The 27,735-nt window shown below is 34.0% G+C and overlaps 1 long non-coding RNA gene across 1 annotated transcript; it reads left to right on the plus strand.

The window, feature by feature from the left end:
- Nucleotides 1-12,351: 12,351 nt before the first annotated feature.
- On the plus strand, nucleotides 12,352-25,830 carry LOC124903242 (uncharacterized). The gene is made up of 2 exons (XR_007063928.1): nucleotides 12,352-12,947; nucleotides 25,517-25,830. It is a non-coding gene; the product is annotated as an uncharacterized LOC124903242 (long non-coding RNA).
- Nucleotides 25,831-27,735: the final 1,905 nt, after the last annotated feature.

Consider the following 27,735-nt stretch of genomic DNA (forward strand, 5'->3'; position numbering starts at 1 on the left):
AAACTTTTTTAATAGTAACATTCTTTTAAATTTTTTGCTCAGCATGTTTCACTTAAAAATAAAACGGTGTTAAAGATGTGTGTGTATATATGTATACACACACACACATTTATATGTGTATATATGAAAAGTAATTAAGAAAATGTCTATGTAAATGCATGATGTTTCCTTACTATTATCCTACCATAAAAGACATTTCAGGAAAGAAATAGAATAGTCACAAAGTATAGGACAAAACAGATTATAAGAATACAAAGGAGTCAAAATTAAATGTAGTATAAATTAATTATTTTATTAGTTTAAAATGAATCTTGTCAATTAAACTATTATCTTAGCGATTAAGAGATTTCATACCATATAGCCAATAAAACTAGATGTATGGTTCTGCTGGGAATTAAGTAATTGGGTATGTTTTTATGCCTCATTATTAATGACCTCATATGCTATTTTAGGCCAGTGCCTACTTACTAATTTGAATAATTCTGTTTTTATGATAGCCTCAGTACTATATACTTCTAGTATAATATATAGTACTTACTATATATTAAGCCTCTGGAATTATTTCCCACTGGAATCATTTAAATTTATAGAAAATTATTAAAGATGTAAAATTATTAGCATGCTAATAAAAGTGTTAAATAGGGGTAGTCTCACCAAAAGTAATAAGTACTTTTGGACAGTCAACAATTTAAACTCAAAATTAAAAGTATAATCACAGATTTTCAAACCTACTTTCCATTTTATTATCTAAATGAAAGACATCTAGAAATTGAAGATAATGTATTTTAAGAGTTTCATAGAAAACATTAAAATTTAATGTCACATGTAATAAGATTTGGTGTCATAAATACTAAATATAGATAATTATGTTTAAGGAATACAGCTATGAAATAAACAAATTAAGTATGTAATCAGAATAATGATTATTTGTATCAAATATTATTATTTATTTATTTATTTATTTTGAGACAGGCTGTCACTCTGCCGCCCAGGATGGAGTGCAGTGGCACGATCTCAGCTCACCGCAAACTTGGCCTTCTGGGCTCAAGCAATTCTCCTGCCTCAGCCCTCCCAACTCCAAGTAGCTGGGATTACAGGCACAAGCCACCAGGCCTAGCTAATGTTTTTTGTATTTTTTGTAGAGACAGGGTTTCACTATGTTGCCCTGGCTGGGCTCAAACTCCTGAGATCTAGCAATACACCCGCCTCAGCCTCCCAAAGTGCTAGAATTACAGGTGTGAGCCACCTCACTTGGCCTTTATCAAATTTTAGAGACAATCATGATATTTGTCCAATCTATACACTTATTACAAATGTGCTCATATGGTATGGTGACATTGCAAATGACTGTTTCGTCTTATTTAACATTAACTTAAATATCTTAAGAAACTGAACAACAAATTCCAATTTTATGTTCAAGTGTATTAATGTGATAACTACTCACACAGTGAACTCTTGAAAGTTCCTTGACTAAATATTTTAAAATTCAAAACTTCTCTCAGAATAAATGAGAGTTTTCTTGTTCATGATCTCTACTCAGGGCTGGCTTCTTGGCCATGCAACCTGTGCAGTCTCACAGGGTCCTAGGTTTAGAAGGTCCTCATACTTGGCTTTTCCATGGATGTTGTGAAATTATTTTTGAACAAGGAAGCCCACATTTCCATTTTGTCCTAGAACCCACAAATTGTGTAGACTGTCCTGCTGTTATCTATTTTTTTCATATAGAAATAATTATTTGGTAATATGCCTTATATTTTCTGCTTAAAAAATTAATTTAAAAAAATGAAGGAAAATATGTGAAAATAACCCAAAACTAATACAAGATATGGAAGATAACCATTGCTCTTATTACTAAAATTTGTATTAAAGATGCGGCCTTCCTATCACAAAGACCGTTTTGAGTTGCTTCATGGAAAAAGCCATTAAATAAATGGCTAGGAGACAGCCAAAGATGAGGCCGTATAATAAAAGGATGAGAACCTCAAGTATAAAGGTTTATCTAGAAAAAATATTTGGCTATAGTTACTCAGCAAGAAAATTTATTTGAAGTAATTAATCCATCAGGTTGTTAAGATAAGAGTTTGTTGGGTTATCTTGCCAAAGAAACTCCTTACAACATGTAATGATTTCAATCCCATAAACTCTAAACTGAATAAAACAGAAGAAGAACTATAAAAATTCAATCCTCTAGGAAGACTATCTTCCCGACATCTAACACAGAAGCGGCCAAGAAGACTAATGGGCAAGACTTCCCAGAAGATAGAACCAAAGGACACGGTGGGTGATAGTAAGGGCAATCCTCTCAGATTGCAGAAACAGTGCTGGCTGTTTGACTTAATTTGTTAACCAAGGGCAAGAAAGTTATACATATTGCAGGGTTTTTTTTTCAGTTGAATTATATATATATTTTCCTATAAGAAAATAACACCAAAAAATAGCAAATCAAACACACAAATAAGTAAGTTAATGAAAGAATTGCAAAACACACTGAAAATAGAAGAAAAAAATGTAAGTTAGGAGTAGCAATTAATGAAATACAGATTAAACATTTATCTGTATTTACGAAATACAGGTAACAAAGATGGAGAAGAATAAAGAAGTCAATGTCAATTAATTGATAGGATGAAATTTTATAACATAATTGTTACATAGTAATAGCCGATAAGCCAATTATAAATTCTGGTATTAAGAATTATCAATTTAGAATTAAAACCGGTTTTGTTTAGGGGGTTCAACACCTGTCACTGTAGCTCTTATTATTCTCTTTCAATTATCTATCTATGTATCTATCTATCTATCCATCCACATATACATGACAGATATATAATCTATTTATTTCTATATGATCTAGATAGATATATCCATTTATAATCTATATACACATATATTGTAGATAAATTTTAAATTTAACCTATCAATTTATAATACATACAGATCATTATAAATGTACATAGGTAATATATAATTATGTATTTTATATCAATTATATATACATTTTGTTATATAATTATAAATAATATATTTTATATATTGTTCTTAAATCTACATGGAAAGAGACTGTGTCTGTGAGAGAAAGGGTGATTAATTGAAAAAGATAAAATGATCTTTATAAATACATCTTCATAAAATTATATTCAAGGATTTTTTTTTCTATTCTGTCCATAATGGTGACATGTGATTAATGAAGTTCAATGCAAAACTTTCTATTTTAAAGCTAATTTTTTTATGACAGGGAAACATTATTAATTGCCAAAAGATTTTCTACAATATAGCTTTCTAATATCATCTAAAAGATCATCCACTGTATTCTTCAGTATTGTGAAGGCCATACCAACTACAAAGACCAAGGTTTTGATGAAAATCTACACTGGCAACATGAAGCAAAAATTATTAGTGGAATTAAATTATTAAGTGTATATCAATGATTTGAAAAAAATCTCAACTTCCCCATCTCATAAGTAAACAATATAAATCTATAAAAAATATAAATATCATAAACTCTGACTGGTACATCAGGCAAATATGACATAATCTTCCTTTGTTTCCCAACCCACAGGACTGGTTTAAGCAAATAATGATGCTCATGGTGTAAACTCTGTGGTCGAGTAATATTATTTAAAAAATGTTATAACTGTAGATTGTCTCCTGGAGATTGTTGGAATGAACTCTCCTGATATCTGTGTCCTTGAAATCCCTGCCACTTGGATTGAGGCACATCTGCTATTCTTGCATATTGATTTTAACTATTTTAAGTAACATGTTTTTAAAACTTTTCTTCATACTCATCCTTAACAGATTTTTTTCCTTTAACTCCTATGGGCGATAAGTGCAAACTTTTTTGGTTATTTCAAGACTATTAAATTTCATCTAGATTAAATATAGACCAAAAGATGATATTATGTGATTTTCCTAGAACATAAGACATATGACACATAAGATTTTCATGCAACTTTCCCTGAATTTCTAAGCTCTTTTTTTCTATAAGTGTCTGCATTTTAATTTAAGCATATGTTTGCAAACACTTGGTTCTGTTTAAGATGCATGATTTCAAATGCATAGCTATATATTTATTTATACTTAAATATGTTAGTTTCAAAGATGATCATCAATGATCTATGCCTCCTTGAACTCATAATTAATAAGGGACAATTTCTAGGGCAGAAAGAATATTGTTCAAGTAATACCAGGTCATAAAAGACACTGCTGCTTCACTCTTGCTTTTCTGGATCACAGAATCTAATGTCATGATTATATTTTGATCAACTTGTAATGAGGCTCACTTAGGAAATAACTGAGATCTCTGTTAATAACAAGTACACAATGCTGTCCATGTGTGAGACACCTTAAAAGCAGCATCAGTTTACTAAAGCCGCAGGTGACACTGAAGCACAACTCCCAAAAAAACTGTCAGCTAACCTTTCTTTATAATTATGACACATAGAGACCGTACCAGCCCAAAAGTTGGTCCCCAACATTTTTGGCACCAGGAACTGGTTTTGTGGAACACAATTTTTCCACAGACAGCAGGGGATGGTTTTGGGATGAAACTGTTGCACCTCAGATCATCAGGCATCAGATTCTCATAAGGAGTGCACAACCTAGGTCCCTTGCCTGTGCACTTCACAATAGGGTTCCTGCTCCTATGGGAATCTACTGCTGTGGCTGATCTGACAGGAGGCGGAGCTAGGCTGTAATGCTCTCTCACCCACTGCTCACCTCCTGCCCTGAAGCCCAGTTCCTAACAGGCTGTGGACTGGTTCCCATCCATAGCCCAGGAGATGGAGACCCCTACTGTAAGCAATGATAAACATTTATTCTTGTAAATCAGAAATTTTGAGGGGCAATTTGTTATGCAGTAAGAGAAAACTAATTCTATCATATATCTAGCTGCCTAAAATGGAAACTAATTCATTTAAAACAAATGGATTTATTTTATTCAAAGAGGTTTCATGGATATATAAGTGTCTAATTTGTGACAATTCAGCAAACTGTCTTCTTCTAATGACTGCTTTTTTCTATGTGTATTCAATACTTCAATAAATATTAAAATAGAAAAAATAATTTACAATTTTAATTATTTTACCAGATCTTCAAATTGTTCATCGTTCATACTAACACTATCCTTTTTATGATTTATTTTATAAAGGTTTCTAAATTTGTCATTTGTAATTATTTTTCTTTTCACCTGTGGAAGTTGGGTAGACAAGTAATAATTCCCTAGGCAAAATATATAAGGATACTTCACTGGGGAAACCCATAACACTACAATTTAAGACATTTGTTTCTTCCTAAGAAAAGTTAAACAAGAAAATTTGTAAATGTTCTCACCATAACTTTCAAGACATACTTTCCGGATTTTGTATTATTTTTCCATTTCAGCAGAAGATGTCAGGAATCACTGTGGTTAAACCTTTGGGATTTTATCTTTTCTCACCAAATTTTACTACATTGATTTAGGTTGCAATTATCTCACTATGATTTGTAGATATAAAATATTGCTGTGTCTTAAGTCTATTTGACTTATTTTTTTTCTTTTTATTAAAGTGTAGTCTAGTACAAAAATAAACAAAAAAAAATCAAGAAAAGGGGCGGGATACATCCATGCAATTTTTCTCTTCAATTCAAATCACACTCAATCAATTGAATATAGTCTGACTCTTTGAAACAGAACAGATAAGCAGAACTGCTTGTGTTGTATAATGATGTTATCTGATAGCAGTTTTCCTGTTTCCAGCACTTCATGTGCCATGAGACTTTCCTTCTATCTTGAAATGAAACCAGGGAAGCCCACTCAGCACTTTCACAGCTTTGAAATATATGCCAGAATTATTCTTCTGACAACCCCCATTACCTAAAACCAAGGCATTCAAACAAATGTGACATAAATGCAGTTACACTTCTCACTACCACCATCCGCCATACTCACAAATATAAATGTTATCTGGAATATTAGCATCCTAAAGGAGGCAGTGTTTTACATGATATTTTCAGGACTTCGCCATCTGGGTCAACAGTATACTTTCTAAAGAATTTTTAAGATGACATCATAAAGAACTGATATAATTGAACTTTTATATTAAAACTTCAATACTGACATGAAATCACTATTTGGATATATATTTAAGCCAAGAAAATGCCTCATGTAGTTATGCTGTAACATTGTATAAAAGAAGACTTTAAAACATGAATTTTACTGCAAAATGTCATGTTCACTCTGCAGGCATCTTGCTAAGATGATCAACTGAATTCAAGGGATGTCTCTAGGATATCTTCAGATAGAAACCATTTACCACATTTGAGTTCTTGGTGAAAATTCAGAGACATAACACAATATTTATCAAAAATACTATTGGTAGAGATCATGCCATAAAAATTTGCTAAAATTAAACAGACTAATTACCTTGGTAATTAACATCAATAGACATGAGGCCATCTAGATTATTCATAATAAAGTGAATACTGAAATTGTACACCACTCAGATTGATAAGGAAAACTGATTTAGAATACTAATATTCTCAATAATACTCATAGAAAAAAAGTGTTATTTTTATTTCAGCTGTCCAAAGCCTTTTAATTTTTTGGAAGATTTTTTTCTACCAAGATGTTGCAGTTATGTATCCTTTAACTTGCTTTTCATTTTGACACATTGGCTACTGCAACTTGCTCAAATATATTGTCTTTCCCTCTTCCCATTTAGTGTTATTTTAAAAACACGGAGAATGAGTGTTATGGGCTGAATTGTGCACTGGCTTCCAAACGTATATTTTGAAGTGTTAAAACCTCAGTACCTCAAAATGTAATTATATTTGGAGATAAGATCCTTAAAAGATAAATTAAGTAAATATTAGTCTTGTAGGGTGGGCCTAATCTAATATGACTGGTGTGTTTTTAAGAAGACTAAGTTTGTACACACAGTGACACCAGACATGTACATCCACAGAAGGATGGCCATGGAAAGACACAGTGAGGCCTCAGAAGAAACTAAGCCTGCCAACAACTTGACCAGGACTTCTAGTTTTCAGAACTATAAAAAAGCAATTTCTGTTTTTTAAGCCACCCTATCAGTGGTATTTTGTTACAGTAGCCCTAGCTCACTAATACAGTGAGGATGTTTTTTTGGGACACATAGTATGTACCAGGCGCTTTCTTTGTGGAAGAGTGGAAGAATTTAGCAAATTCCAGGAAATATTTTTGTGCTTTCTATCTGGCTTCCCTTTGACGTCATAATCGAATTAGTTTTTGTACACAGTTTTAAGCTATCGCTTCGCAGTACCAGGCATTTTCTTGCTTCTACTCCCCTGTTGTGGAGGTGTCTGTTATGGAATATGTACCTGGAATAATCTTCTCATTTTCTGGAGATTTAAACTCTCAAAATAACTAAAAAATTCCACTATCTTATAAATCCACATAATTTTTACTGCCATATAGCTTTTATTTATGAGGTGAAAACATTGGTATCACAGTAGTGACACATACAAAATAGTCTTTTACCTAATTTCTTTTCTCATTAGTGTCAGGTTGACTGTTTACTTATTAGTTATTCAATTGTTGCACATTTTAAGAATAATATTTCTATATATTCCATATAAACAAATTAATGTGTGGAACAAATGTAATAATTTTAAAAAGAAAAAACAAGATAACCCTAATGGGAAATAATACATTTATATATTAATATATGTATATATATATATACACATATATATACGTATATATATATACATATATATACGTATATATATATATACGTATATATACGTATATATAACCTAGTAATAGACACTTACCATGTACTACAGCCTATGCTAATAATACTAATAATTTTACAATAAATTTAGAAATATTATTTATATATTATTATCTAATACTTAAAGCACTTACCATGTTTCATGGTCTACATTAAGAATATATATGCAATATTTTAGTTAATCTTTTTTTTACTGAAGAAAATGTTTTCAGAATAGTAGAGAGGATCTTAAAGAGTTAAGTAACTTGCCATGGGTACAAATCTTTGTGTCATTGTTGGGATTCAAATACATTGCTTTGGACTGGATAACAGAAATATTCAAACATTAGTCTACACTGCTATTCTATATTAAGTCAATAGATACTAGGAAAAAGGCCACACATAAAATTATAACCATTACACCCAAGAAAATTAAAGCAACATTTGTTTCTGTCTCTTTGTTAAACCATACTGGAACCATGGATGCTTAATTTTCCTGTGTTAAATACTGCCGATGACCAGAAATACCTTAGCTACTGTGTTTCAGGGGGAAAAAATGCTGATCAAAGTTGCAACTGTGAACTCCCTCAAATAGCTTTCTTAATAATGCTAATAATAGCTTGTTTATCAAGACTTGCTTGAAGATTTTTGCTTCAATGTGTCATCTTTAGAACAAACAACAAACAACAACAACAAAAAAAAAAAAAACAGAAAGAAAGAAAACTGCCATAAAAGTCTGTGCAATATCACTCAGTCTTTTGCTTTGCAAGAGCCGTCCTAAAATGTCTTACTCTAGGCCCTAAGATTTTATCATTATCCTCCTTCTGGGTCTCCATTTGAGATACCACTAACACAGTCTCTGTGGTTTTCTGCTGTATAAAATATTTGACTAATACAAATAACTATTTAACAGTTTTTTTCTGATGCCTTTTAGGAAGTTTTCAGTTAACAGGCATATAACATACATAAATTTTATGTTTCACTTTGATAGAAAGTGTTTTCAATGGACTTATTCATTAGTACTATATTTATAATAACTGTTCTAGTTCACCGGCAATAATATAAAGCATCAGAGCAAAATATCAAGAGCATATGCAAGAAATGTAAATTATTTATTAAAAAGACCATTGATATTTAGGAGGCAGAAAATGTATCTCATTTGTTAGGAGCACTGAATTTGCAATATGTGGATTAAAATGAGACTGGGAGGAAAGTAAAAGATATCAATTTATGCAACAGTTTAAACACTTTACCCAAAATTTATGAAAGTGAAATTGCCCTAGGGGAATTTGTTCACATAAAGAACTAAATATACCTTTATTTTGTTTAAGAAATTCTTCCTTATTGATCTATTTCAAATAAATTCACTAGATATACTGGAACTATGAATTAATTATTCCAGAAGAAATTTTTGTGTGTATGTGAACAGGAGAGAGAAAGACAAAGTAAGGGAAAGTTTTTTAGTGAATAAAACTTTGTATTAATAAACCTTGAGAAATTTGAGGTTACAAGTATCAATGTGTTTGCCTAAAGCATCTTGCCTACTATCACACTTCATAAGATATATCAGTTTCATTTTTACATAAGATTTTTAAAAACATATTTACTTATATATCTTGGCCAGTACTGTCTTTATTTTAACACTGCAAGTCCCAGAGACCAGGAAACCTCCCATCCCTTCCAAAACAAAGCCTCATATTCACTCTATAATATTCAGCATACAAAGAACAAATCTAAAAGGCATATATGTGTTTTTTCGGATATATCAATGGAAATGATGAAACTGTAGAGAGCTTATTTTTAGTGTTTATTTATTTAAATAAGTTGCATTTTTATACCAATTTAAATCATGTATTAGTGTTCAAGACATGGGGCAAAAAGTCATGTACAAATTTATGAGTTCTCCTCAACATTGATATGAATCAAATGAAAATAGCAGAAATGTATATATGTTCACATTTGTTTTATTATTTTATAAATGCAAAGAAGTTCTATTGTGTTTTCAAAAGGATATAAAAGGACCAATATAACAATCTATACATTTTCTTATGTTCTTTCAGAAGCATTTATAGGAGTAGACAAACATCTTTAATGTATTACACTGACAACTTTTTAAAAATTATTTTTAATTGACACATAATAATAGTACATGTTTATGAGGTACAAGGTGATATTTCAAAACCTACATGCAATGTGTATCAATCAAATCAGAGTAATTAGCAATCCATCACTTCAAACATTTATTATTTCTTTATGTTGAGAATATTCAAATCTGCTCTTCCATTTGAAAATATACTATTGGTTGTTGTTTATTACAGTCACTAAATAGTGCTATGGAACACGAGAACTTACTTCTGCTATGTAGCTGTACTTTTACACCCATTAACAAATCTCTAGCTATCCCCGACATACCCTTCCCTTCCTAGCCTCTAGTAACCACTATTTTACTCTCTACTACTGTGAGATCAACTCTTTGAGCTTCCACATAGGAGAGAGGACATGTGATACTTATCTTTGTGTGCCTGTCTTATTTCACTTAACAGCCCACAAGCTAATCCATATTGCAGCTAATGACAAAATTTTGTTCTTCTTTATCACTAAGTAGTGTTTTAAACAATGGCAACATTTCTCTTATGACACTTTTATGGCAAATAAATAATATAGTTGTATTTGTTACAAATTAAAATATGATTATCTTCTTGGGCATAGTTTCTCAAATTTGCATAATAATAAAAATCAATTGAGCATTTCTGAAAGTACTTCTTCCCAGAGCCCACCCCAGGCAAAGAGGCTCAAAATCAATTAAAAATATTATTATTTGTAAATTGACTTCTCTTAGCCTAAAAATAAACACTTTCAAAATGTGTTTTCTCAAACATGAATAATTAATTCATAATGTGGGCTCCTCTTCCAATCATAAATCAAGTTTTCGAAAGAATGATCCTGAAAATTAGGAAAAGCAGTAATAATAAGAATAGTCTCAGGTTTAAGTTAAAGTAAATTATTATTTTGCTATCAGAATGAGGGGCCGCATGCAAAAGCCTAATAGATAAAATTCAGTCAGTACATTGCCACGTATATATGTGAAATTAAGGCTTCTTAAAGAAAAGAATATGTAATATCTATTGATACTTATTTAGTGTACTGAGCTATAGAAATTTCTTTGGTTTCTGGGAGTTTCAGTATTAAAACTGAGACAGCATCAGCCAATGAGGAATAGCAATTGCTACATTAATTGAATGACTGATGTAAGCAATACTATATAGAAAATAAAGATTGCTTTTTGCAACTTATAGAGTACAGATAAATTAAGACCTATTAGATGACAGTTTTGTAACTAACACACATTAAGGGAAATAGTGAATTTTTTCTTCATTTCCTATGTGAAAAATACAGATTCAGAAAATAAATAATTCATTAGAAATCTCATTAAAAATTCATTCATAAAATAACTCATTAATAAGTGTCAGACCTCAGTTTGGGAGATTCAAAAGCAAGTGCTGGAATATTCCAGAACACTTGCTCTGAGTAGGCGTGAGAGATCATTAAATAAATATTGTAGCAGATTTCTACCACTCCAAGTCACTCTTGTCAGATGAAGCTTTTGACAGTAATTGTTTTGTAAATGCATCATAGTGAAGAACTGAGGAAATGAGAAGAAACTGTATATTCAAATGTTCTACAAGGATAAATAAATGCTTTAACATTTGAAAAAAATGTATTGACTGTGCCAGATTTTTATTAGTTTATACCTGTGTGGAAAAACAGGATGAAATATGTAACAAATATTTTATGCAGTAATATTCGTGATATTTCAATTTATCTGTTTCATGATTGGCCATATTTATTCAAATAGAGTTTTGATGACAAATAAGTATTTATTCTGACATATTCAATAGGCATTACTGTATTGCCTAATGTGGTTAGGTGTTTCTATATACAAGAGAATAATTAATTATCTTCCATCATCATAACAATAACATTGTGAAAAACATCATTTATTTACAATTATGAAACTGAGCACAATATAAGAAAACTTTTAGAGTTTTCTCATTTTATACAACTATTATGTAACAAAACAAGATTTCTATACACAACTTGCTTTTTACATAATCAGTGCACATGTCCCCCAACTGAATTATTTTCAACTATAATATCATTCAGGCAAAAGTCATAAATCAAAAGAATCATATCTGCAATATTGTTTTAGCTGGAAGTTATTAGGCAATACTTCTGTAATAACAACAAAATGCAGTCACTTGCCACAAAGGTTTATTTCCTGCTCTGGCTGTGTTTTCATTGTTGGTCAGCTGACACTTCTGTGTCATCATTACCCTGTAATAAAAAAACGATAGAACGCCTTCATCTGTATTATGCCCAATTGTCCTGGCAGATAAAAAGAAAATAAAAGAAAAAGAAAAAAAAGAAAAGGTGACTATGGTGGGTCTCATATTGTTACAGGATTCCTTTGGTGCCACTTTGCCAGCTGGGAATCTCTGTGGCCAGCACTGCCTGGAAATCTCTGTGGCCACGGCTGCCTCTGGCCTGGCCTTTCTAGGGCCAGCTGGACTCGCTCTGCCTGCTCAGCCCAGCAGCCTGCACTCAGTTCACTCCCTGGCCCGGATCCCATGACTGCCTTGGCTCTATGCTCAGCTTGAGCCTGAATCAGGCGTGCTGTGAGTGGCTTCTGTATAGGGCGCAGGCGTCTAGAATAGGCGAAGGTTGGTGGTGCCCAAAACCTCAGAGATGCCAGCAATCGCGGAGCCCCAAGTGGTGTTACAGCTCTTGCTTGGGGAGTCCCAAGGTTTGGGCCCCAAGAAAAGTTGCAGCTCTTTACTCTCGTAGCTCAGCCAGTGGGAGCGTGTTATAGCTGTCTTTCTCCTGTAGTCCGGTGAGCAGGAATGTGTTATAGCTCTTTCATTCCAGCCGCCCACAGCTGAGTGAGTTCCAAGTTCTTGTCCTGTGACCAAGAGGAATAAGGTGTGTGGACACTGGAGAGTAAGTAAGGCAGAGAAGAATTTTATTGAGCGACAGAAGGAAAGCCCTCAACTGTGAAAAGGGACCCTGAAAGTGGGTTGTCATCTGTGAGGCTGAGTCTGGGCTTGTCTGGGTTTACAATGGGAGAATGTGTGCTGATTGGTCCATAGGTGTTCTTTGAAAAAATCACCATCCAATTGGTTAAAAAGCATCATCCGGAAGGAACCAATCAAGAGAGAGAAGGTAAGCTGGGGATAGAACTTCTAACTCTGATCATGAACTCTATCTGGAACTAGCAGCTCGGTTTTCAGGCTTTAAACTGTCTTCGGCTTGAAGGTCGGGTTTCACCAGGGACTCATCCCTGTTTGCCTAGGAGTGTGTCTGTCTCGTGTCACTGTCAATATTGGCATTAATTATTTAAAGATGCTGGCTTCAAAAAGAACTATTCCATCAGCACATTCAGTTCCTTGCCCAGCATTTGCCACAAAATCCCATAAACCTACAAGGTAGATTGGAAGTGCAATCTTACCAGGTGCTTCAGATAAATCAAAACAGAATATTTACCAAATACCACATTAACTGGTATAAGTTTATTATTATGAGATTAAGGCCCATATACCATATCTCACCTCTTGTCTGATTATTAAGAGATGCCTCTCTCCCAACCAGCCAAATGAAAAAAAATGAAAGATGTCCCTCTAAGTTAAATGATTTGTATTTTTTTTTCTGTTGAGGGCTTCAAGAAATTATATTGAATGAGAAAAACAAAAATAGTTAAAGGTCATTTACTAGTTTCCTGCTATAACTGACGTCTTTGCATTGTGGACACTTAGGTTATGAGGAGCATATATAAGGAAGTATGGAAAATAAATAACTAAAATTAACATTTTAAGATATTTTCTGACTCCATAAATAAAGTCAAGGTTCCGAAAGAGTATATAACAAACTTATAGTATTTGTCTCTTCTGGGAAGTAGCAATGAAGGTGTGAGAAGAGAATGTTATGCTTTGCTGCATTATATCATATATATAATTTACAATAACTTCAGGTATATTTAAATTCAAAAAATAAATGAATGAAGGAAGGAACAAAAATAATAAAGACTAAGTAAATGAAAGATATAAATATGACTAAATAAAATTATATGGGACAAAGAATGAAAAACATGGCATTTAATACTTAAGCATTTGGTTTTTATTCCATAGTATAACCAAAAGTTGGGATTCATCCCAATGAATTTAAAGGTTAACTTTGCCAAGGTTAAAGACCATGGCTCATGACACGGCCTCAGGAGGTCCAAGTCTGAGAGTATGTGCCCAAGGTGGCTGGGTTACAGCTTTGTTTTATACATTTTAGAGAGACAGAAGCTACAGCCAAAGACACAAATCCATACATGTAAGATAAATAATGATTTGGCCCAGAAAGACCAGACATCTGGAAGTTGGGGCTTTCAGGTCATAGGAGGATCCATAGGTGGATTTCATGATTTGTTTTAATGTTAATGCTGGTCAGTTGTGTGTAAACTCTGTAAACCAAAAAGTACTTCAGACAAGTCTCAATCAATTTAGAAAGTTTATTTTGCCAAGCTTAAGGATGTGCCTGAGACACAGCCTCAGGAGGTCCTGACAATATGTGCCCGAGGTGGACAGGTTACAGATTGGTTTTATACATTTTAGGGGTCATGAGACATCAATCAATATATGTAAGATGTACATTGGTTTGGTCTGAAAGGCAGGACAATTCAAAGTGGGGAAGGGGCTTCCAGCTCATAGGTAGATAAGAGGCAAATTGTTCCATTATTTTGAGTTTCTGATTAACTTTTCACTGAATATACAATTTACAGAAATAGTCACTTGTGCTTTTGTCTGGCTTAGTGAAACAGTGGAACAAAGGAAGCAATTGGGTATGCATTTGTCTCATGTGAGCATAGGGATGACTTTGTGTTCTGCTTGTCCTTTGTCCACAAGGAATTTCCTTGTGGGCAAATTGTAGGGAGATATGTAGCTTTTTTGTAGCTATCTTATTTAGGAATAGAAAGAGAGGCAGGTTTGCCCGAAGCAGTACCCAGTCTGACATTTTTCACCGGGTTAGTGATGTTAGGGTACCGAGATTTATTTTCTTTCCACAACTCCAAAGGGAGAAGGGCATAATGAGGCATGTCCAACCCTCCATTTCCATCATGGCCTGAACTAGTTTTTCAGGTATCTTTGGGGTCTCCTTGGTAAAGAAGGGGGTCCATTCAATTGATTGAGGGGCGCAGAATTTTATTTTTCGTTTAAAATAGGCAGTAAAATATCTTTTTAGGCTTCTAAGAAGGTTGGTAACATGATTAGATTTATACGCTACAAGATATATATAATATTATGCTGTATATTCAAATAAATAATGAAATAGCAGTTAGTTGTCATTCAACCACTCTATGAAAAATGAATGACACATCTCCTTATGAATCTCTGTACTAACACGTCTAATTTTAAAAATATATTGAAATTGAGCAAAAGTGAGTTTATCACAACCTAATTTCTACAATATCCTAAATGCTTACCATGTTCCAAGTACTAACTTATGTACATAGTAGCAAAGAAATATTAATCATGTTAAGTAGCATTCATCCACATTAAATCTATCAGGCATACCAAGCAAGTTCAACACATTTAATCCTCACAATACTTCACTATAGCTGTAAGATGTAGGTATTACTAGCCCAATGTAATAGATGAGAAAAATAAAATTCAAAGAGGTTTAATTACTAGCCCAAGGTCACTACCTCAAGATTGGTCCACATATGAGTCAAGATCAAGTCTGTCTGTCCTCAAAAGACATAAGTTTCCCACTAAGTTTTACTATTTCTCTATTTTGATTTTTATAGTAAGAGCAAGTTGTTTTTTTTTCTCACATAAATTTTTACAATGGGAAAAAAGTAATCAGAAAAAATTGCTCATACTGCATAAAATGTACGTAGAGGACACTGAAGCTATTAGAATGTGTGTAATTTCTTTATATTCATTTTGATTGCAGTACCAGAATAAGCTGATAACTTCGTTTCCAATTTGAATATGTAGTCACAGCAACATGTTATTTTCTGATGCCAATGTTTTTGTTTTCTTTTGGAGAAAGAGTTCGATTTTCCCTTTTTTCTTAGACAAAAAAGTCTTGTACATTTCTCAAATATACATTACCCTTATGTTTGAAAGGAGGAGATGCAAGCAGCAGCAAACAGTCTGAAAAAATCAGCAATAAGTACAGTTCAGCTATTAGGCTAGGGAAAAATACTGACATATGTATTATGTTTCATACAACCTAATGATTTTTTTTCCCAGAAACTAACTTTAGACTAAACAAGAAAACAATATTCCTTAGCTGTCACTTGAGAGAAAATTTGCCTTTAGTGAAAACAAAACTTTAGAAATAAACCCAATAGGACAAAATATACATGCTATAAAGACCTTTTTTTGAAATACCTTTTACTTTTTATTTTACATTTCCATCCAAATCTCTAATTCAGATTCCAACTAGCCAATCTTTTTAACTTATTATTGATATGGATAGGAGACAGGGAAATACTGGGTAAAAGAGGGCAGGGTCTCTGGCAAAGATTCCATCCTCAAACCTAAACCTGTGACCCTAAATGAGAACTTCACATCCTTCACATTCCCATTTTCCTGCCTGAGTGTTGCCTTTTGGCCCACCATGTCCCTCACCCTGTACCCACAAAGACCCCAAGCTTCACTGGCAGAGGAGCAGAGCAGCACAGCAGAGAAGGAGAGAAGAGAAGAAGCAGCTAAAACTCTAGAGGAGAAGAAACAAATGAGCCTTGGAGACTACAGATAGATGCAGCTTCACTCAGAGACCACCTTCTTCCTGCACCATCCCCTTTCCAGCTCCCTTTCTGCTGAGAGGCACTTCCACCTTTTAATAAAGTTCTCCACATTCATCACCTTTCAAACCATTCATGTGACCTGGTTCTTCCCGGACGCCTAACAAGAACCCGGGTACCAAGAGGGCAGGGTGTAAAAGGCTGTCAACTTGACTCTCCACTGAGCTGGTTAATACTTAGCCATCTGCAGACAGCAACTGCTAAAGGAGCATTAATTGTAACAAACCCCTAGATGCTGCTGTGGGACTGGAGCCTAAAAGTGCTCACCTTGGCCCAGGTACCCGCTCACCTGAGTTCTCCCTGTCCCATGATGGGTTTGAGCACAGTGACTAGCCAAGTAAGGAAACCACACCCGTTGCAAGTCCCACAAGGGGTCAAGGAAACTCTCCCATCTCATTATTTCACAGAACATATGCCATTGTATTGGTGTATGACAGTTGATAATATTTTTCATCATAATAATCATCTATTAAATCTTCTATTTGCCTGTCTTCCAAGTAAGCATTATTTCTCATTTAAATCAAAATTAAAAGAATTGGTAGTGCATATCCCTGTACATTTATTTTGCATGATTTTTGAATTTTAAACTTTAAATTATGTCCTTGTTTCTAAGGTGTCCCTGATTCTACAATATATTGTTCACCTTTGTTTTATGTTTTATTTTATTCTCATAGATTACCGTTATTTTATTCTTGTTCATTAGCCACATTAGATTTTATAGGTATTACATACACTAGCTGGAAACTTATTATGTTTGTGAAGAAGGATGCTTAATTGATGTACCGTGAAATACTAATCATAAATGGCAAGCTCTCAGGTGTTCACATTTACTCAGATCCTAAAGGGAGTAATGTAACTTTTTGTCTTATTTAATGACATTTTAAATGATGCTTTGTTGTGTAAACGTATCAATAAAATCAAACCTTGAAACTATGTTCCAAAGTCTTGTAAGCCTAAGGAATGCCAGACAAATTAATGCAAAATGATATAGGTTAACAATATGGGAAAAAACACAAATGATTTTTTTTAATAGTGGCACTTGCATAAGAAATCTGAATACACATGTAACTGTTCTTCCAAATATCAAACCACATGCAGTTTCAATGAAGATCATTTGTTTGTGTTTCTGTTTTTGTTTTTTTAATGCAGAAAGTCATATTGGAGCTAATAATTCTATCAGTTGGAAATCACATATCTCTTTTCTTTAAATATACATGTCACTATCCAAAATTTTTTTATGTATTCACTAGAATAAATAACCAACACCAACACACAATTTTAAATCAGGTTATTTAATCAATATTTAAAAAATAAAACTAAAATAAAAATCAAGCCTATATGGTAAGTGTAGATAAAAATGTCTAACAAATCCTAATTTTCACCGAATATAGTAAATGTGATGCATGTGTGTAATTGAAGAGAGCACCTGAACAGGCTAAGTGTGAGCAATAAGACTGTCTATTCACTCAGGTGTGAGCGGGCTGAGTCCGAAAAGGGAGTCAGAGGAGGGTGGTGGGATTGGAGCTAGTTTTATAGGTTAGTGGTAAGCAGTGGAAAGTTACAGTTAGGGGCTGTTTATTGCAGGCAGGGGAAGAATGCCACAAGGTACATTATCACAAGGTGGGAGGGGTCCCAGGGCACAGTGTCACAAGGTTGATTCATCAGTTAGGGTAGAGCAGGTTACAATGGTAGAATGTCGCAAGGTTGGCTAATCAGCTAAGACAGGAACTAGCGGCTTTTTCTTCTTTTGGGGTTTTCCTGTTGTCCCAGACTAACTGGCTCCAGGAGAACTTCTGGATGTGTACGTGTAGGTCACAGGGGTCTCAATGGCTTGGCCATAGCTCAGCCTGCTCTGAGGACCTTACAGTAAAAACAGCTAACATGTTTAGTGTTCACCATATTCGGTTACCAGGATAAATATTTTCACATACGTTATTTTACATCATTTCTGTGACATAGATATTATCATTGGGTCAATTTTATAAATGAAGAAACTGAAGCTCAAGAGTGGTAACTTGCCAAAAGTCACACAACAAAGGAATGTCAGGGTCAGCCTTTGCACGTTTGTTAGACTCAAGTCTGAATAATTACAACTGCATTAGGTGGATTTGGGCTAGGTCATGAGGCAATAGGATAAGGATGCAGGGAATGGGAAGATTAGCCTGTTAGTAGAGCTGAAGACCATTATATCTTATGTTCATTTGTTCACTTAATATTTACTTTCTTCTTACATGTGCCACATCCTCTACAATGATGATTGAGAGGTAAGAATTTGATGCCCTAAACTAGATGTTCCATAATCTTGCAATTACTTTTTTTAATTAAACCTGTTAATTTATGACTATTTCATTAGCTACCATAAGCATTTTCTAAGTGAAAGTCTAGTTCACCTGTCAAATATAGATAGGGAAGTATAAATGAAATGAACTATGAGGTGACTAGCTGAGGAAAGGTATACAATATGAAAAGCATTAAAAGGGAATGAGACAGAAACACAAAAGATTTAATGTAGGCCAGGGTCAGAATTTGAACTGTTGAAAGAAGGCAACTTTGAAGAAATTTTTAAGGGATAAAATTGATCACAATTTCTTGAACAATGGATACTTTTTATAGAACTGAAAACCAAAGAACTCCCAGCTTCCACTAAGAGGACTACACAAATCTGGGGGCATACGCTAGGAAAATAAATGGGATAGAGAAAAATTACGAAGGCACTAGAAATGGAACGTCTGGGACAGTAAAGAGGTCCATATTAAAAAGTAAGTTGAAGGCCGAGTGCGGTGGCTCATGCCTGTAATCCCAGCACTTTGGGAGGCCGAGGCGGGTGGATCACGAGGTCAGGAGATAGAGACCAACCTGGCTAACACGGTGAAAACCTGTCTCTACTAAAAATACAAAAAAATTAGCAGGGCCTGGTGGCACACACCTGTAGTCCCAGCTACTCGGCAGGTTGAGGCAGGCGAATCACTTGAACCCGGGAGGCAGAGGTTGCAGTGAGCTGAGATTGCTCCACTGCACTCCAGCCTGGGAAACAGAGCTAGATTCTGTCTCCAAAGACAAAAAAAAAAAAAAAGTAAGTTGAAAATATTTGGAATGCAGGAAATCCAAGTTCATGGCCTTTGCTTAATATTTCCTGCATTAACTGTAGAGTATCCTCCTAACAAAATGGAAGAAAATGGAAGAGAGGAGTTGTCTCGTGCAAAATCCACACTTATTTCAAAATGTTTGTATACTGGAAATAGAAGGATCAATGGAAAAGTAAAAATTGAAGTAGCTAAACATATTAGTAAAGGTCAAGAAAAACCAAGAACTGAAATATTGTTACATATTTCCACACAGTATGAAAAAATACGTATGTTTCAGTTATTCCCATCAATGAGAAAGAAGAGTGTATGAATTTGGATTCTCAATAAAAGTTGGATCATGTCATCTGTATTCTTCTCATTGTTAAAGGGAGAAATGCCACGGTTAAATTTGAGGGAAGGATAATTCTCCAAAACAAAGTATACCTTTCAGTTGTAGACTCAGAATAACCTGTTTGACCGGACTGTATGTATCCATTGAAAATGAAATTTTGAATAATTTCTCTTAACTTTTTAATATCTTCATTTATTAGTCTCTGAAATCAAGTCTGGCAGTGGCACTGTGGAAATAACAGTTTTGCTCAAGCACAGTTAAAAGGGATGTTGACAAGCCTTGTTTAATCTTATTGATTTCTTGGCCTTTTGAAAAAGGGATACATAAAAGACTTGGGTTATTCAGATCAGTATATATGGAGAAGTGCTAAAAGAGCTATAACTGTTTAATTGGCAAACATTTAGGCTATATTTCCTAAAGTAGGAACTCTGATTATAACTAGGCAAAATAATAATGTCCATTGACAATAAATAAATATTATGGTTTTAATTTCCTGTACTGCATATTTCCATGCTCTACAGCAATAACACTAATGATGTTATATAACCAGAACAATGCAGAGCTGTTCCCCAATCAAGCCACATAGAAAAGTCACCTGGGCATTTTTATATAATATTGTGTCTGTCCCTATCTACTAAATCAGATTGGGTAAAGAGAATATAGATAAAATACATATTTTTAGAAGTACCTTAGGTGATTCTTATGTAGTCACCCCAACTATTCTTTTTTCAGATCAGCTCTTGAAGAAACATATTTATTCAGAATTTTAATTTATTTGTGGCTAAAAAAAAGAAATTTCACAGCTGAGGATTAATTATACTAACATAAATTTGATAATAGAATTGAGTTTTAAGTTCTGCAATCTACAACATTCTAGAACACAGACAGAGGATTATTTAAATAATAGTACCATGTCATTTTCAAGAAATTATCCTTATGGGTGAGTTTGATTGGAAGAATTAGCTGAGCACAATTCAATAGGAAGATAGATTAGGGGATAAAGATTTCACCTAGTTTATAATATATCTTTAGTTTTGTGCTTGTCTCAACCTATTTCATAAACCTCTTTTTGCACATGAGAAAACAATTATTAACTTGGCTGATCTACACACATTTCTGATATGAGGAATATATATTTGACTTTGGAGAAAAATATATAATCATAGCATTGGGATTCTTCAATAATATCTTTATTTTTTATTCTGAGTGTGCTGTCACCACATACACAGTGGACCATAGCCTATGTTATTAGCTGACTATTTTCATGAACAGAAAGAAGAAAAAGCAAGTGAATATAGATCTCATACTCCCACTCTTGTGAGGACGGAGTTTCTAATCTGTATTTCATAATACTTATTGGGAAATGTTTGTTAGAGAATGGTCTCACTGAGCACTCTCAAGCAAGGTATAAAAAAACAAGCCCAAATTTCTGTGGATATGTGTAGTGGAAGGTATGCAAGTGTTTTATACAAGAAACTATGATATATTACTCAGGAGAAAATTAATTATATCTAACTAAATGGAAGGTAATTATTTCATGTTTATATATTGAAAAACCAGCAACATAAATATGTCATTTTTTCCCCAAATTATTCTATTTCTTGAAAGAAATACTAGCCATATATCAGCTGGGTATTTGCAGAAACTGGTAAATTAATTCTAAAATTCACATAGCAATGTAAATAGCCAGGATTGGTAGGACAAATTTAAATGAAAGGAAAAAGAGGTAGAGAATTGACAACAACAGGTATACAGATATTTGTTTGTGTTGGATGACCAATATCTTCTGATTTTCTAACGTACAGCACAGTGACTATAATTAATAATATTGTATTGTTTACTGGATATTTGCTAAGAGAACAGATCTGAAGTGACCTCACCACGAACACACACACACACGCATACATACACACAAACACACACAGTACGGTGTGGTGAAGACTGTGTTAATTAATTTTATTGTGGTAATAATTGCACAATATAAATGCTTATTGAATGATGTTGTACACCTTGAATATATACAATTTTTACTTGACAATTATTCCTCAATAAACCTGGAAAAAATCTATAATGAATCTGTAGTAATTAAGAGAGTGTGGTAATAATAACACAAGAATTTTAAAAATTCGCCAAGGGAGCGGATTACAGAGTTCAGCAATATACACGATAGGATTCCTCGAATGGACTTCTGCTTGAAACTCTCCACTGACTGGACGGTCCAAAATATTCAGAGACCTGTATTGTAACCTAGGGCACTGACTACCATTTCTTTCTTCTTTCTCTTATTTCAACAGCTATCAGGGCTGAATCGTGTTCTGAAGGTTCTTTTTGTCTTCTCTTGCCCTCTTCACCTTCACAGGTGTTTCCTCAAGATTCTTTTGATCATCTAATGTTAGCCTGGCTTCAGGGGACCCAAACTGACACTATAACCTAAGAAAAGGTGTGTGTGTTCACATGAAAAGTAACCATTGCAGCACACTACCTGGGACATGTATTCTGTACCTGTATATTAAAATGCATGGTATTATGCCAAATCAAGCCTTTTTTAAAAAAAATCATAGTCATTGAGACTAAATTTCATTTTAAGTCATTAATATTCATAATATTCACCAACTGATCTTGAATATCAGAATAACGATCATTACATTTGACATACCTGTAATTAATAAAATATTCAATTGATTTTTGAAAAGTACCATAAAACAGCCTTTTATAGAAGTACACTAATTTCAAAGTATATTTGTCTTCTCTCTTTAAATTTTGAATATTGCCACTGTAATCTAATTATCAGTGTCTTTATCAGAATTATTTGTCATTATTTATTAAGAAAATTACCCTGTCCCATGCTATGGTATGTGGGATAGAAAATAAAGTAAATATGTTGCTAATTGTGTTCTACTATATCCCGTTAATTAGATTAGACTATTTGAGCTATTCCACAATGGTAATTAATTAGCACTTGCTTGTCATTACTCTCAAGTAGTTCATGTTAATAAGGATAACATACAAATTGGAAAACTGCTGGAAGTACTGTATTTAGAAATACTACATTTGGTCATAGAACAGACCAGCCTAATCTATGTACAAAGAATTTAAATAAAAGAGAGAATCCAATGTATTATATGTTCTAATTGTAATGCCTAAAATTTAGAAAACTGAAAGATATTTTCACATAATATATTGGTTTCTATTGCTGCTGTAATAATTTGCCACAAATTTCGTGGCTTAAAACAATATCTTTTTTTCTCATAGTTCTATAAGTGATAAATCTGGTATGCCTTATTAGGTTTCCTGCTCCAGGTCTCATAAGACCAACGTAAAGCAAAATCAAGGTATCATTCACTGGGTATCACTCTATCTGGAGGCTTTGGAGAAGAATCTACTTCCAAGGTTATTCAGGTTGTTTACAAAATCCAGTTTCTTACAGGAGTGTCATTGATGGCTGTCAGCTTGATGTCTGCTACTGTACCCCAAGGCTATATGTCATTCCCTCTCAAGTGACCTCTTCCAACTTCAAAGCAACAAGGGCACATTGAATCCTTTTCCTGCTTTGAATCGCTCTGACTTCTTCAGCCATCAGCTGGAAAAAAATTCTCTGCTTTTAAAATCTCAAATGGTTAGGCCAGGCCTCTGGGATAATCTAGTATTTTAAAGTCAGCTGTGCCACATAATATGTAATAATGGCAGAGATGTCTCTCATAGTCACATGTTCCAGGGATCAGAATATGTCATCTTGCTGGTGGGGAGGGTTAGGATTCTGCCTGTGATACACAGATTACCTATGAAGATGGTATAATAATTATGACATTATCATGATCACAATTAAACTTTCAGAGGCTCAGAGATTGATAGCAATTTATATAAATTCTGGTAGTTTGTAATAAAGTTAGCTAGCTCTCGAATCAAAAATCTTTGAATAAATTTATTTCCCAAACAAGTATTCTTATAAGAACTGAGCTACACAGATACAAAAAAGGAAGACGTAAATACCTCCAATGGTCAATACAATGATATGGGGTTTCATTTTTGGTTTGGTTTTTTATTTTGGTAAAAGATAATCTGTGGAAATAAAGGTAAATAAAGATACTATCACATAATCTGAGTGGCACAGGCTCAATATATATTTGGTTATACAGATTATACGACACAGCAATCACTAAACATATAGAATTTTTTTTTTTTTTTTTTTTTTTTTTGAGACGGAGTCTTCTCTGTCACCCAGGCTGGAGTGCAGTGGCACAATCTCGGCTCACTGTAAACTCCGCTTCCCAGATTCAAGTGATTCTCCTGCCTCAGCCTCCTGAGTAGCTGGGATTACAGGCCTGCGCCGCCACCGCACCCAGCTAATTTTTGTATTTTTTTTTTTTTTTTTTTTTTTTGAGACGGAGTCTTGCTCTGTCACCCAGGCTGGAGTGCTGTGGCGCGATCTCGGCTCACTGCAAGCTCCGCCTCCCGGGTTCACGCCATTCTCCTGCCTCAGCCTCCTGAGTAGCTGGGACTACAGGCGCCCGCCACTAGCCCGGCTAATTTTTTGTATTTTTAGTAGAGACGGGGTTTCACCATGTTGGCCAGGATGGTCTCGATCTCCTGACCTCGTGATCCGCCCGCCTCGGCCTCTCAAAGTGCTGGGATTACAGGCGTGAGCCACCGTGCCCGGTTTTGTATTTTTTTTTTAGTAGAGACGGGGTTTCACCATGTTGGTCAGGCTGGCCTCGAACTCCTGACCTCGTGATCTGCCGGCCTTGACCTCCCAAAGTGCTGGGTTTACAGGTGACAGTCACTGCGCCCGGCCAGTATATAGTAAATATTTGAGCTCATAAGTGATTACATTCAGCAGAACATCCGAAAGATTATTCTCAATTATCATTTTAATGGTCTATTTCTCTTGACCTGGCACTACCTAATATATAAGCCCTTCCTATATATAATTATTGAGCACTTAAAATACGCTATCAGATATAAAAAGCATAATTGATATTGAAGGTTTGGTATGTAAAAGCAAAAATATAAGATATTGCATTAATACTCATGTAATGATTACATTTGAAATAATATTTTGAAAATATTAGGTAAAATAAATTAGTAAAACTAACCTTAACTGCTTCTTTTTAATTATTCTTAATGTGGCTTCTTGAAAAATTTTTAATTACATCTGTGTCACATTATGTATCTATTGAACAATGCTGCTTTAAAACAATATAACAAGAAATGCTCTTCAGGATACATTTCTTGTATATCATTGTTTATCTAAGAGGAAATGGTTTATTTTTCTATTATCTACAGATCACCAAATAAATTATTTATAAATAAATATGTTATTCTTTTGCAAATGCTCAATTAATTTAAGTTGCTAAAAAATAAAAAGGAATAATCAGAATTTAAAGCTGTAAAAGCTATTAGATTATTAGAATCAAAATAGAATATAAAGCGATGTGTCTAGTATAATCTCATTTTGCTCTTGTCTTTGTATTCCAGATCATTCCTCCGCTTGTTGAGCTCATTTCTTCTCTCCTTGTAGGTCTGATAAATTGACCCCAGTGCTCATCTATTAATTCAAAAGAAGCTTTGTGCTTGCATCAGCGCTGCCTGACACAGGGGAAAATGAGAAATGCGGCCATTGATATACAGAGAACGGCAATGTGGCTAAACTGAAGAGAGTAGGCTTTTGGCCAGCTACTTCCAACATGGCTCATTTCAAATTCTCACTTGTTCAACTAAAACAAAATATTAATGAATCTGCTGAATAAAGCTTATAAATGCTGAAGAATTAATAAGGGTGAAATCTGAAGGGCATAAGGATATTTTTTTCAATAAATTCTCTTTGACCACTCATGCTCAGGTGTGTTATATGTTACCTCTTGTTTTTATGAATCCTTCCATTGTTGTAAATGGGCTCTGTATAACCTTTTCAATTAGGAAAGATCAAAGAGACTTTGATAAAATATATTGCAAAGTTACCTATGCTTTAAAATTTAATAAAAATGACCAAATGACTAAGCAAGCACTGTTTGGTTAGAAAGTAGATTAATGTCAAGAATTATACTGAATGTAGGTAGCTATATCAAAAAAGAGTGATCATATGTATGGTTATGTTGCAAGGAGGAGAAAATAGTTAGATTTCTTAGTTTAAAAATAATTACCGGTGCTGGACGCCGTGGCTCATGCCTGTAATCCCAGCACTTTGGGAGGCCGAGGTGGATGGATCACAAAGTCGGGCGTTCAAGAACATCCTGGCCAACGTAGTGAAGCCCCATTTCCACCAAAAATACAAAAATTAGCTGGGCATAGTGGTGTGCACCTGTAGTCCCAGCTACTCGGGAGGCCGAGGCAGGAGAATCACTTGAATCTCCTGGGAAGCGGAAGTTTCAGTGAGCCGAGATGGCGCCACTGCACTCCAGCTTGGGCAACAGCGTGAGACTTTGTCTCAAAAGTAATATTAATAGTATTCCATGGTGTATATGTGCCACATTTTCTTAATCCAGTCTATCATTGTTGGACATTTGGGTTGGTTCCAAGTCTTTGCTATTGTGAATAAAAAATGATGAGTTCATGTCCTTTGTAGGGACATGGATGAAATTGGAAACCATCATTCTCAGTAAACTATCGCAAGAACAAAAAACCAAACACCGCATATTCTCACTCATAGGTGGGAATTGAACAATGAGATCACATGGACACAGGAAGGGGAACATCACACTCTGGGGACTGTTGTGGGGTGGGGAGAGGGGGGAGGGATAGCATTGGGAGATATACCTACTGCTAGATGACGAGTTAGTGGGTGCAGCACGCCAGCATGGCACATGTATACGTATGTAACTAACCTGCACAATGTGCACATGTACCCTAAAACTTAAAGTATAATAAAAAAAATTTTTTAAAGTAATATTAATAATAATAATTACTGGAATGCAAATTTAGTTTCTTAACACATATAGGCACCAACTTAATTGAATAGAATTTTATTTGCTATGTTTACCTTTCAAGTGCATATTTTTTTACATAAAAATTTTGTGAGAAATGTTTTCCTGTGTTTAAAAAGGAGTAAAGGTGTAAATTAAAGTGTATATATTTTATGGTAGCTACAGACAGCTCCATGTAAGTAGTACGAAGAAAGTAAACCTGCATTTATGTTAACTATGCATGGTTTCCTTGAAGACAAGATAATTTATCACACATTTGTCTCTTGGTATTTGCAGGAGATTGGTTGCAGGACCCCTACATATACTAAAATCTGAAAATCCTTCAGTCCCTTGCATAAAATGTTATCATATTTGCATATAACATACACAAACTTTCTTACAAATTGAAATCATCTCTAGATTGCTTATGATACCTAATGCAATGTAAATAGTATGTAAACAGTTGTTATACTACACTTTTGAAATTAGTATTGGTTTTTATTGTTATATTGTTATTTTTATCTTTTTTTCTTATGTTTTTTATCTAAAGTTGGCTAAATCTGCAAATGCAGAACCTGTCAATTTGGAAAGTTGACTGTACAATATTCAAGCTTCAAAAATTTTAAACAGTAATAGTTTTGGAAGATTAGTGATGTGCTGGATTTGTGAAGAATGGAAGAGCATCGTTTTAAACACTTGGCTAAATATATTGGTGATATTTAAAATGGGTAATAAAGCATTCAACTAAAATTTTTGAAAAATAACAGACTAATAATCACTAAAGATAAATATAAAAGTAGTGTTTTTTTTTTAATAAAAGGGAAAAGCAGTTAATTTA

Source organism: Homo sapiens, chromosome 13 (assembly GCF_000001405.40).
Source record: "Homo sapiens chromosome 13, GRCh38.p14 Primary Assembly".
Lineage (NCBI taxonomy): Eukaryota > Metazoa > Chordata > Mammalia > Primates > Hominidae > Homo > Homo sapiens.